The 12,758-nt window shown below is 39.8% G+C and overlaps 1 protein-coding gene across 3 annotated transcripts in view, besides 2 other annotated features; it reads right to left on the reverse strand.

Moving 5' to 3' along the window:
- The window catches only part of FAM210A (family with sequence similarity 210 member A), a 63,212-nt gene that overhangs the window by 6,044 nt on the left and 44,410 nt on the right, over nt 1–12,758 (reverse strand). For all 3 annotated transcript variants that reach the window (NM_152352.4, NM_001098801.2, XM_024451083.2), the window contains 2 exons: nt 12,215–12,715; nt 2,472–2,583 (listed from right to left, as the gene is read on the reverse strand). In NM_152352.4, the coding sequence (NP_689565.2) occupies nt 2,472–2,583; nt 12,215–12,687 (585 nt within the window). In that variant the 5' untranslated portion in view covers nt 12,688–12,715. The remainder of the gene's footprint in view (nt 1–2,471; nt 2,584–12,214; nt 12,716–12,758) is intronic.
- Nucleotides 3,560–4,759: an enhancer, noted in NCBI's record as "P300/CBP strongly-dependent group 1 enhancer chr18:13672949-13674148 (GRCh37/hg19 assembly coordinates)". NCBI's record gives its function as "activates an origin of replication core promoter dependent on BRD2, BRD4, P300/CBP, MED14 and CDK7 cofactors, with strong dependence on P300/CBP, by STARR-seq in HCT116 cells {active_cell/tissue: HCT116}" and the evidence as "EXISTENCE:reporter gene assay evidence [ECO:0000049][PMID:35650434]".
- Nucleotides 5,978–7,177: an enhancer, noted in NCBI's record as "P300/CBP strongly-dependent group 1 enhancer chr18:13675367-13676566 (GRCh37/hg19 assembly coordinates)". NCBI's record gives its function as "activates an origin of replication core promoter dependent on BRD2, BRD4, P300/CBP, MED14 and CDK7 cofactors, with strong dependence on P300/CBP, by STARR-seq in HCT116 cells {active_cell/tissue: HCT116}" and the evidence as "EXISTENCE:reporter gene assay evidence [ECO:0000049][PMID:35650434]".

Raw genomic sequence — 12,758 nt, forward strand, 5'->3', positions numbered from 1 at the left:
CTCTGCCCTGTTCACTGATTCCGGTCACACTAGCTTCCCTGCATCCCTCAAATACTCCCAGGATCCTGCAGCCTCAGAACTTTGTCTTTCGGATTTTCTCTGTTTGGAATGCTCCTCCCTCTTGGAGGAGCAACTCTCTCACCTTCTCAGCAAGGTGTGCCATCTCCCATTGAAAAACAAATCCATACCCCCATCCCTGGTTTCCTTTCTTAGCAGTTACCATCATCTACGTACACACACTTTGTGTGTGCATGCATTTCTAACTTTACCTTGTCTCCCCAACCCACTACCACTCACTACACTATCAGCCCTATGAGGCAGGTATTTTGCACTGTCTTCTTTGATTCGTTTATTCCCAGTACCTAGAATGGTACCTAGCACACAGCAGAGGATGACTAAAACTCTGGGTGTATTTCAAAGAGATTATGAGGCAGTCAGTGAATATATCCCGTAGCCAACTGCCACCAGACCATACATGCCATACTTCATTTGGGGACTTTGTCTTGTTGAAGCAATAAATCTGTGTCTGTTGCTCTATTTGAGAAACTGGGGGTTACAGATAATACAAAGGAGAATCCCCTCCATATCTCCTACTTCACAGAGGAATAGTGAGGGGGAAGAAACACCACTGGCACTCATCTCCCTACCATGACGCCTACAGCCTCATTTTCAATCCCAACTCCACAAACACGTGCTGAGCATTTTATTCACCTACAGAACATAATACCAGGTGCAGTGAAAAAAAACAAGAAAGAAGACATGATTCTGAGTTCCTGGGAGCTCCTAATCAAATAAAACAAACACTTAACACCTAGCACACACTGTGCTATCAACTGTCATGCTATGGGAGTGGGATAAGGAGCAATTAAATTAGGGAAGGTTTACATCAGCATGATAGTTTGACTTACTCGGGTTAAAATTATACCCACCATAATTAGAAACTTGATAATTTTTAAATTTAATACACTTTAATGTAGAAAAACTCAAAAATTAAATGTTAGCCCTCTCATCAAAATTATAATAAAAGAGGAAATCTACCAAGATTTCAGAGGATGCTAATGAGGATGACAGAATGAAACAATGCTACTTTTGAGTAATGCTGTAAAACTGTAATTCTTAGATATTCTTATACAACAGAAGTAAAATAAAACATCTAGTTTCTGTGTTTTCAACTTCCTTAGGTAGAAGTTTCACAGACCCTCATAAATATTTGTCAGTTTAGAAAATGAGATTAATATGGCTAAACTCCACAATTTACAGTGAGTCTTCCCTTCCAAAATAAAGACCCATAGGCATAGAAGCTATCAAGATGATGCTGTCAGGCCGGCTGCAGTGGGTCTCATCTGTAATCCCAGCACTTTGAGAGGCCGAGGGCGGGCAGATCACCTGAGGTCAGAAGTTTGAGACCAGCCTGACCAACATGGAGAAACCCCGTCTCTACTAAAAAAATACAAAATTAGCCAGGCATGGTGGCACATGCCTGTAATCCCAGCTACTTGGGAGGCTAAAGCAGGAGAATTGCTTGAACCCGGGAGGCAGAGGTTGCGGTGAGCCGAGATCGCGCCATTGTACTCCAGCCTGGGAAACAAGAGTGAAACTCCGTCTCAAAAAAGTTGTCTGAATCCGGAGAATAGTTACAAAGATTATCAACTTTTAAAATGAAACATATGTTAGGTTAAAATCTAACAGAAAAGGGTTTATCATATAAGACAATTTGGATTAAACCTATTTTACTTGCTAAGAAAAGATGAATTATTAAAAACAGTAAAATAGGGGGATCTCCTCTTTTGGCTTTGGAGGCCCCCCCCTTCTGTCTCTGTACAGGGGAGCTTCTTCCTTCTCCCTTCCTTCTTGCCCCTTCTTGCCTATTAAACTCTCTGCTCCTTAAAACCACACACAAAACAAAACAAAAAACAGTAAAATAAATGCTAAATTTTGCTAACAAATCAGGTGGCATGCAGATCACTGAATAAGAAAAAACAAATATAATTATACTTAAAATAATTATATCTCCATTTATCAACGGGAGCAATGTCAAACAGATGACTACTACCATGGAAAATCACATAAGTCTAACAATTATTTGACCACAGGAAGTTATGAATGATCTACCAATTTTTAAGGCATTTCTTCCTAAAACCACATTTTTACTTCCACTTTATTTTGTTATCTTGTTATCTCCCAGCTACTCGGGAGGCTGAGGTAGGAGAATCACTTTAACCTGGGAGGCGGAGGTTGCAGTGAGCCGAGATGGCATCACTGCACTCCAGCCTGGCAAACAAGAGCGAAACTCCATCTCCAAAAAAAAAAAAAAAAAAATTATCTTACATTATTCACCAGACATATCAGAGATGAAATACAGCGTTTCAAGTTACGAAATACAATTGGAAGCTAACATGGAATCTCATGGGAAAGTGAGCAGGTCACCACCAGTGAGTTCTGAGGAGCAATGGGTTTGTTACAGTACCCACCTTAAACAAGGCATATGCTGTGAGGGCATTTCCACTCTGGGAGTTTTTCAGGATGCTTACCACACTGTCAGGTAACCCAATGAGTTCTAGAAAAGGAACGACATTCACTCCTCTACAAAAAAAAAAAAGTAATTTTCATATGTACAAACTTTTAATGATATTTTCAAAAATTATCTGAAAATACCAAAACCACACTATAATTTTATTAAATTTTGCTTAAAAGTTGATTCTACATTATCAAGCACTTTACCTTCACTCTAAGAGAACATCTTACTTGATGTACAATATGCAACATGCACACAAACATCACATCACACGGTATCTTATCGCCTACAACTTCTATTTGCTTCATGTGGGCATCCTAGTATGTTTAGAAAAATAGAGGCAGTTATTAGAATAAAATTAACAGCTTTAAATAAACTATGAGAAAAGGATCAGAATCATTTGCCTGGTCTTAGTTTCCTCAACCAAATACCACTTCCTTAGAATGCTCCAACTCACATTTTAAGACCTAAAATTTTTACCTTTAAAATTACATGGTTTGTTAGTTTGTTCTGTTCTGTTTTGAGACAGAATCTTGTTCTGTTGCCAGGCTGGAGTGCAGTGGCGCAATCTTGGCTCACTGCAACCTCTGACTCCCTGGTTCAAGCGATTCTCCTGCCTCAGCCTCCTGAGTAGCTGGGATTACAGACACGCAACCACCACGCCTAGCTAATTTTTGTATTTTTAGTAGACATGGGGCTTCATCATGTAGGCCAGGATGGTGTCCATCTCCTGACCTCATGATCTGCCCGCCGCAGCCTTCCAAAGTGCTGGAATTACAGGCATGAGCCACAGTGCCCAGCCAATTACATGTAATTTTATGTGTAAAATTGCACTGTAAAAGCAAGAGATATTTTAACATCACTTTAGTCTGTTATTATGCAAAGAATAAACGACACTATGGGTTTGATGAAAACTTCAATTACTCTAAAAGGATGCTTCTATTCTATTAAAAGACTTAAGGCAGGTGAAGGAGCAATTAACATATACCGCGACAAATTTCTGGAGACAGGAGAGAAGGCAGAGAAAGTCTCCAACTTGAGCCGCAACTTCTCCGTTTCCAGCTTCCTGATTATTAACATTCCTGAGACCCGACTTCTTTTATTTCCAGTTTCCTGATTATTAACATTCCTGAGCCCTGGCTTATTTCCAGTTACATTCCTGAGCCCCGACTTCTTTATTTCCAATTTTCTGATTATTAAGTCTTGAGCCATGACTTATTTCCAGTTTCCTTATTAACCTTCCTGAGCCCCTGACCTATTTCCAGTTTCCTGATTATTAACATTCCTGAGCCCCGACTTCTTTATTTCCAGTTTCCTGATTATTAACATTCCTGAGCCCCGACTTCATTTCCAGTTTCCTGATTATTAACATTCCTGAGCCCCGACTTCTTTATTTCCAGTTTCCTGATTATTAACATTCCTGAACCCCGACTTCATTTCCAGTTTCCTGATTATTAACATTCCTGAGCCCCGACTTCATTTCCAGTTTCCTGATTATTAACATTCCTGAGCCCCGACTTCATTTCCAGTTTCCTGATTATTAACATTCCTGAACCCCGACTTCTTTATTTCCAATTTCCTGATTATTAACATTCCTAAGCCCCGGCTTCTTGATTTCCAGTTTCCTGATTATTAACATTCCTGAGCCCCGACTTCTTTATTTCCAGTTTCCTGATTATTAACATTCCTGAGCCGTGACTTATTTCCAGTTTCCTGATTATTAACATTCCTGAGACCCGACTTCTTTATTTCCAGTTTCCTGATTATTAACATTCCTGAGCCGTGACTTATTTCCAGTTTCCTGATTATTAACATTCCTGAGCCCCGACTTATTTCCAGTTCCCTGATTATTAACATTCCTGAGCCCCGACTTCATTTCCAGTTTCCTGATTATTAACATTCCTGAGCCCTGGCTTCTTTATTTCCGGTTTCCTGATTATTAACATTCCTGAGCCCTGGCTTCTTTATTTCCAGTTTCTGATTATTAACATTCCTGAGCCCTGGCTTCTTTATTTCCAGTTTCCTGATTATTAACATTCCTGAGCCCCGACTTCTTTATTTCCAGTTTCCTGACTATTAACATTCCTGAGCCCCGACTTCATTTCCAGTTTCCTGATTATTAACATTCCTGAGCCCTGGCTTCTTTATTTCCAGTTTCCTGATTATTATAATTCCTGAGCCCTGGCTTCTTTATTTCCAGTTTCCTGATTATTAACATTCCTGAGCCCAGGCTTCTTTATTTCCAGTTTCCTGATTATTAACATTCCTGAGCCCTGGCTTCTTTATTTCCTGTTTCCTGATTATTAACATTCCTGAGCCCCGACTTTATTTCCAGTTTCCTGATTATTAACATTCCTGAGCCCTAGCTTCTTGATTTCCAGTTTCCTGATTATTAACATTCCTGAGCCCCGACTTTATTTCCAGTTTTCTGATTATTAACATTCCTGAGCCCTAGCTTCTTGATTTCCAGTTTCCTGATTATTAACATTCCTGAGCCCCGACTTTATTTCCAGTTTCCTGATTATTAACATTCCTGAGCCCTAGCTTCTTGATTTCCAGTTTCCTGATTATTAACATTCCTGAGCCCCGACTTTATTTCCAGTTTTCTGATTATTAACATTCCTGAGCCCTGGCTTCTTTATTTCCTGTTTCCTGATTATTAACATTCCTGAGCCCCGACTTTATTTCCAGTTTCCTGATTATTAACATTCCTGAGCCCTAGCTTCTTGATTTCCAGTTTCCTGATTATTAACATTCCTGAGCCCCGACTTCATTTCCAGTTTCCTGATTATTAACATTCCTGAGCCCTAGCTTCTTGATTTCCAGTTTCCTGATTATTAACATTCCTGAGCCCCGACTTTATTTCCAGTTTTCTGATTATTAACATTCCTGAGCCCCGACTTCATTTCCAGTTTCCTGATTATTAACATTCCTGAGCCCTGGCTTCTTGATTTCCAGTTTCCTGATTATTAACATTCCTGAGCCCCGACTTCTTTATTTCCAGTTTCCTGATTATTAACATTCCTGAGCCGTGACTTATTTCCAGTTTCCTGATTATTAACATTCCTGAGCCCTGGCTTCTTTATTTCCTGTTTCCTGATTATTAACATTCCTGAGCCCTGGCTTCTTTATTTCCTGTTTCCTGATTATTAACATTCCTGAGCCCCAACTTCATTATTTCCAGTTTCCTGATTATTAACATTCCTGAGCCGTGACTTCTTTATTTCCAGTTTCCTGATTATTAACATTCCTGAGCCCCAGCTTCTTTATTTCCTGTTTCCTGATTATTAACATTCCTGAGCCCTGGCTTCTTTATTTCCTGTTTCCTGATTATTAACATTCCTGAGCCCCGACTTCATTATTTCCAGTTTCCTGATTATTAACATTCCTGAGACCCGACTTCATTTCCAGTTTCCTGATTATTAACATTCCTGAGCCCTGGCTTCTTTATTTCCAGTTTCCTGATTATTAACATTCCTGAGCCCCGACTTCATTTCCAGTTTCCTGATTATTAACATTCCTGAGCCCTGGCTTCTTTATTTCCAGTTTCCTGATTATTAACATTCCTGAGCCCCGACTTCATTTCCAGCTTCCTGATTATTAACATTCCTGAGCCCTGGCCTCTTTATTTCCAGTTTCCTGATTATTAACATTCCTGAGCCCCGACTTCATTTCCAGTTTCCTGATTATTAACATTTCTGAGCCCTGGCCTCTTTATTTCCAGTTTCCTGATTATTAACATTCCTGAGCCCTGGCTTCTTTATTTCCAGTTTCCTGATTATTAACATTCCTGAGCCCCGACTTCATTTCCAGTTTCCTGATTATTAACATTCCTGAGCCCTGGCTTCTTTATTTCCAGTTTCCTGATTATTAACATTCCTGAGCCCTGGCTTCATTATTTCCAGTTTCCTGATTATTAACATTCCTGAGCCCAGGCTTCTTTATTTCCAGTTTCCTGATTATTAACATTCCTGAGCCCTGGCTTCTTTATTTCCAGTTTCCTGATTATTAACATTCCTGAGCCCGACCTCTTTATTTCCAGTTTCCTGATTATTAACATTCCTGAGCCGTGGTAACTTCTTTATTTCCAGTTTCCTGATTATTAACATTCCTGAGCCGCTGACCTCTTTATTTCCAGTTTCCTGATTATTAACATTCCTGAGCCGTGGTGACTTCTTTATTTCCAGTTTCCTGATTATTAACATTCCTGAGCCCCTGACCTCTTTATTTCCAGTTTCCTGATTATTAACATTCCTGAGCCCCGACTTCATTTCCAGTTTCCTGATTATTAACATTCCTGAGCCCCGGCTTCTTTATTTCCAGTTTCCTGATTATTAACATTCCTGAGCCCTGGCTTCTTTATTTCCAGTTTCCTGATTATTAACATTCCTGAGCCCTGGCTTCTTTATTTCCAGTTTCCTGATTATTAACATTCCTGAGCCCCTGACCTCTTTATTTCCAGTTTCCTGATTATTAACACTCCTGAGCCCTGGCTTCTTTATTTCCAGTTTCCTGATTATTAACAGTCCTGAGCCCCTGACCTCTTTATTTCCAGTTTCCTGATTATTAACATTCCTGAGCCCTGGCTTCTTTATTTCGTTTCCTGATTATTAACATTTTGCCATGATGGCTCTTGCTCTCTTTGGACACTGTGACCCTTCGCCCCTAAATCAGAACGAAGACATTCACCTACATAAGCATCACATTTATAACATACACAATAGTCTACAGTTAATATATAATCTAGATTACAGTTTCCTAAATTGTCCCAGTATGTCCTTTATGGCTATTTTTCCTGTCTCTCTAGTCTGCTTTTCTCTAGAAGTGCTTCTCAGCATTCTATGGTGGAGGAGGGCAGCATGCAGGCTGGCTACTTGGAAGGACATCTCTCAACTTGGGTTTGTCTGATTGTTTCCTCAAGAGGAGATTCACGTTAAGTACTTTCGCACAGGAAAACGACAGAATGGACACTGTCCACCTCAGCACATCACAACAAGGGACACATAAAGCCAGTCTGTCCATCCTTAGTGCAGCAGGACGAGCTGCAGACAAAACCCCGCAGACACTGAGTTAAAGAAGGAAGGGCTCTATTTGGCTGGGAGCATCGGCAAGACTCATGTCTCAAAAAACTGAGCTCCCTGAGTGAGCAATTCCTGTCCCTCTATTTTTTTTTTTTTTTTTCTTTTTGAGACAGAGTCTCGCTCTGTCGCCCAGGCTGGAGTGCAGTGGCGCAATCTCGGCTTACTGCAAGTTCCACCTCCCGAGTTCACGCCATTCTCCTGCCTCAGCCTCCCGAGTAGCTGGGACTACAGGTGCCCGCCACCACGCCCGGCTAATTTTTTGTGTTTTTAGTAGAGACAGGGTTTCACCATGTTAGCCAGGATGGTCTGGATCTCCTGACCTTGTGATCCGCCCACCTCGGCCTCCCAAAGTGCTGGGATTACAGGCGTGAGCCATCACGCCCGGCCCCTGTCCCGCTTAAGGGCTTACAACTCTAAGGGGGTCCGCGTGAGAGGGTCGTGATCGACTGAGTAAGCAGGGGGTACGTGACTGGGGGCTGCATGCACCAGTAATCAGAACAGAACAGAACACAACACAACAGAACAGAACAGGGATTTTCACAGTGCTTTTCCATACAATGTCTGTAATTTACAGATAACAGATTAGGTTCGATCTTTAACTACCAGGCCCAGGGTGTGGCGCCGGGCTGTCTGCTTGTGGACTTCATTTCTGCCTTTTAGTTTTTACTTCTTTCTTTGGAGGCAGAAATTGGGCATAAGACAATACGAGGGGTGGTCTCCTCCCTTATTAGTATTACTGAGTTTGCCTCTTGGTGAAGGCAGGGTCGGTAGACCTCCACTGTAAAAGCAGCTTTCCCTATGTCATTAAGAAAGAGCATTGCCTAGATCTATTATGATAACGGTAGCGGTAAACTCTTAATTTTTAATATTAATTAGGGAAAAGATGTCCTACTCTGTGACTTCACCATAATACTAAGCAGTCAGGGAGCACCCTCGGTAGATATGGCTGATCATCCTCAAGAAAGGACTATTAAAATTACTTATCATCAAAAGTCAGAGGAAACCAGAACAACTTAAGGGAAGTTTAAAGAGATGAATTAAAAAATAAACTACGAGTCCAATCTCATTTCTTCTATCTTCTATCTTCAGTTTCAATTCTTTTTCAAATCTCTTTCTAGATAACAACTAAATCTCATTAAGATAAGGTTTAGGCCAGGCGTGGTGTCAAGACTTGTCTCTATAAAAAATTAAAAAATAAAAGATCATACAAACAATGGACTGAGACTCCAAGCACAAGCTGTATTGTCACTGGCCTGCATCCTTTGTCAGATAAAGAAGCAAGCATCTAGTTCCAATATTTTTTTTTTTTTAGATGGAGTTTCGCTCCAGGCTGGAGTGCAATGGTGAGATCTCGGCTCATGGCAACCTCTGCCTCCTGGGTTCAAGCGATTCTCCTGCCTCAGCCTCCCAAGTAGCTGGGATTACAGGCTCTGCAATTCTGTAGTGTAATGCACCACCATGCCTGGCTAATTTTTGTATTTTTAGTAGAGATGGGGTTTCTCCATGTTGGTTAGGCTGGTCTCGAACTCCTGACCTCAGACGATCCGCCTGCCTCAGCCTCCCAAAGTGCTGGGATTACAGGCGTGAGCCACTGTGCCCGGCCCCACTTATTTCTAAACTGTTGATGACTTTTCTTAAAAATAACTTTCATTTCCTCTGGAATTACTGAACATGAAGTATTAATGAGGGTCTGATTCAAACAGAAACATCTACTGTTTGTCACTTTCTACTCTGAAGTGCCCACAGCCAGCCAGGAATCTGTGCTTCTCAAACTGCCAGCTTTACAACTGTTTCCACAGATGAAGAAACACACAAGGACAAAAGCACATTCACTGTCTGGATAAAGTGCAGTAGAAATCAATCAGGGTTTTGCCTCACAGTGGATCTGTAACTTTAGGAACTTGAGGTCTCAAACACAAGGCATCTAAATGCAGGGACCACATCATCATTGCTGAGCCACACTTGATCAAACTAAAGCACTTCTGGACATAAGACACCAGATCTCTGCAAGGCTTTGCCAGATAGGAGCGGCAACAAAGCTCAGTTTAAAATAAAATCTATTAGCATGCACAATTTAGAACTCCCTGAAATAAAGTATTTCAAAAACCTGAGAACTTCATCACTCTGTCATTCTAAATATAGAATGACATTTTGCTCTACGATGCCTAGAAAGGCAGTAATGCGAGCTATCAGGGTAACCAAGACAAACACTGGTCAGTAATGAGGCATGATGTCAAATGCCCATCTTTCCAGCTACAAACTATTTTTCTCCCTTTCTTTTAATAGTAAGTAGGCAACAAGCAAATAACACAGAACTTTTTCCAGTTAAAACAAACAAACGAACAACACTAAAATATAACTAGCCTCTTGTCAGGTGAATTGACAATCTGTATTTAGTATAATCAACTTCAACTTTTAAATACAATCATCCTACAGTGAAAATATTCGAATTCCTTTTTCTTTCATTCATGAATTTGATTTTTTTAAGCATTACTTGTGATTAAGATCTTCATATAGAATAAATTGACTTTCAAATTTTGAAGGATCTAATAAAAACCCCAAGGAGGACTGTTCTGGAAAGCAACCCATCCTGCCCATTATAAATTCTCTACGTGATGCTATGACAGAATTGACCCAGTGGTCGTGGCGGGGCAGTAGTGGTGGTCTAGCAACCCGATTCCTATGCTAACAAATAGCCCCAAAGCAAGGTGTAATGGGGAAGGGTATTATTTTAAAGTAGACAGTTGTATCACCATGTTTACATATAAGCATTCTGCAAAAAAGAGGGAGGAAAATAAAACTAAGAAAGTTGCATTTTACAGGGGATGACAGAGCATCACCCACAGCTGCTTCAGATGCCCACAGCACTGAAGAAATCTTAAGCATTATTAAGATCACTAGATTATTCTGGGTCTACTTTTTCAGTTACAGAACTTTTACCAGAGAATAAGGAAAAGTAAAAGGAACAAAAATATTATTCTTAATAGCCTAAATGAGAATCTCATATTCAATTAATTAAAAGCTTGAATTTCTCCCTCTAAGGCCAGCCAGGAGGCCGAATGCCTTGCCTTATCATACATGGGCAACCTGACGAGGGCAAAAGAAACACATATGTATTTTTCATGTCATCTTTCACAGACTGAATCACAAAAATCCTCCATGACTCAAAAAAGAAAATTTAATATGTAGAAATCCATTCATTACATAGCAGGACTGAATGCCTACAATAACTTTTGATCAAAATGGTAACTTTATTTTCTGTCAAAAAACCAAGGGCAGTTTTGAAGACTTCTATAAATATTAATCATGTCCAAAAATGTCATTAATAAACCAAGAAACAATTCCATAAAATATACACCTAAAGAATCTTCTGCAAGGAAAGATACAATTCTTAAAGAAAAGGATATGCAATGAAGAAGGATATAATTAAATAAGAGGAACATAATGTAAAGATACAAAGTGAAACAGAACAGCATCAATTACACAAGGTGAAAAAAAATCCTTTTAGAAATTTTGTCAAGAAATCTATGTGGTCCTGTGTTCCCAAAAATAGGTAGTTTCTATTCCATCATCCTGGAAGAGCTACTTATAGCTTAGTCTGCAATAGGCTGCTTCTAAAGAGTGAGCTTTACGTACAACACTAACCATATTTTGTTAATGTCTTGATATCAAGCCATTAAATATAATCAAGCACTGAAAACCACTCAACTCTGGAAAGTATAAAATAATTCTCAACCAATTAGGAGAGTTTACTGAAGTGTCTAAGTCCTTCACGCACACCAGGCCCGGACACTGAGGAATGGGCACTCGGCCGACTAGTGGCAGAAATGGGAAATCACTGGTCCTCCTAAGCCTAAAGCAGTGTGAAGCAAATAACTTACCTTAAGGGGAAGGCATAGTATTAACAAGAGAGATGCACTTTAAATTGTATGTTTCAAAACACTGGGAGGCTAGACCTACTAGATTAATTTCTGATCAGAACAAAAGACCTTTCCTTGACACTTACTGGACTTGGGTAATATCAATGCAAACAAATTAGCCGGACTTTGGCAAAATCTTGCAAATTTCCCACCAAAACCATACATATGGCAAAATAGACATCTTTTCACATTTATGAACATTCTAAGAAATATATAATTATGGAGTCATGGTGCTGCCAAATTTCTGAAATTTGATTATTTTATGTCTGTGCTTTCCTGAATGCCAGGATGAGATCTGCATATAGGAGAGTGTATGCTTTGAGATCAGACGCACCTAATTGGGTTTTTAGTCCAGGCACCACTTCTTAGCAACTGAGTTATTTTGGGAAAAGCTGAACTATTTTTACTTCTCCTTGCCTAATCTGTTTTCTCATTCATAAAATGGGTGTAACTGTGTAACTTGCTTTATATGGTTGCTGGGAGGATTAAATAAGATGAAACAGTTAAAAACTGCACCAGATGCTTGCTCCAAACAGTAAGCAAATGTTAGCTATTATTATTAAAATGTGAAAAAACAGTTATCCTCTATTGATGAAAAACATTAAAGCATTTAAAAATCTAAAGCTATCATTAGTACAATTAAAAAGATTAATATTCTGGTAAGACAGGGAAAGACATTCAACTAAGCAAAAACTTACTTCAAGGCTGCATAATAAAATGTTCCAAACCAAACACCAGAAGTTATTAGATGCACTGGAATCAGAACTTTTCCATACTGTCTAAATGTCTTCTTGAATCGTTGATAAAGACTAATAGATTTGTCTTGCAAAGGATCAGGCTCTTCCTTTTTTTCCGGAGTTCCCTGAGCTGTGGCACTGGATGAAAAAACCCTCCTGAATGAAACATGTTGCTTCCCTTGCTTATGGCGAAGGACTCCTGGTTGGGGTGGATGAGCATCCAATGGCCTCCTTTCCTTTGCAACACACTGGGCAGCAGATAAATGCAACCATTGTTTTTGAGGGCCTTGTACCAAAACCACTTTGGATTCAGCATTGTATAAAAGTAAAGGTCCCTTTACATTTTGACAGTGTCCAAAGAGACCAGCATTATGTGGTTCCAAGCATGTCCTGCGTGCCAGTCGAGATACAGTCCGTGGTACATTCCATTGCATTTTGAAGAGTGTTGATAGGTTTCAGCTTCTACAAAGACAATTTTTCAAAAAAATTAGGTAATACTTAGGTT

Source organism: Homo sapiens, chromosome 18, assembly GCF_000001405.40.
Source record: "Homo sapiens chromosome 18, GRCh38.p14 Primary Assembly".
Classification (NCBI taxonomy): Eukaryota; Metazoa; Chordata; class Mammalia; order Primates; family Hominidae; genus Homo; species Homo sapiens.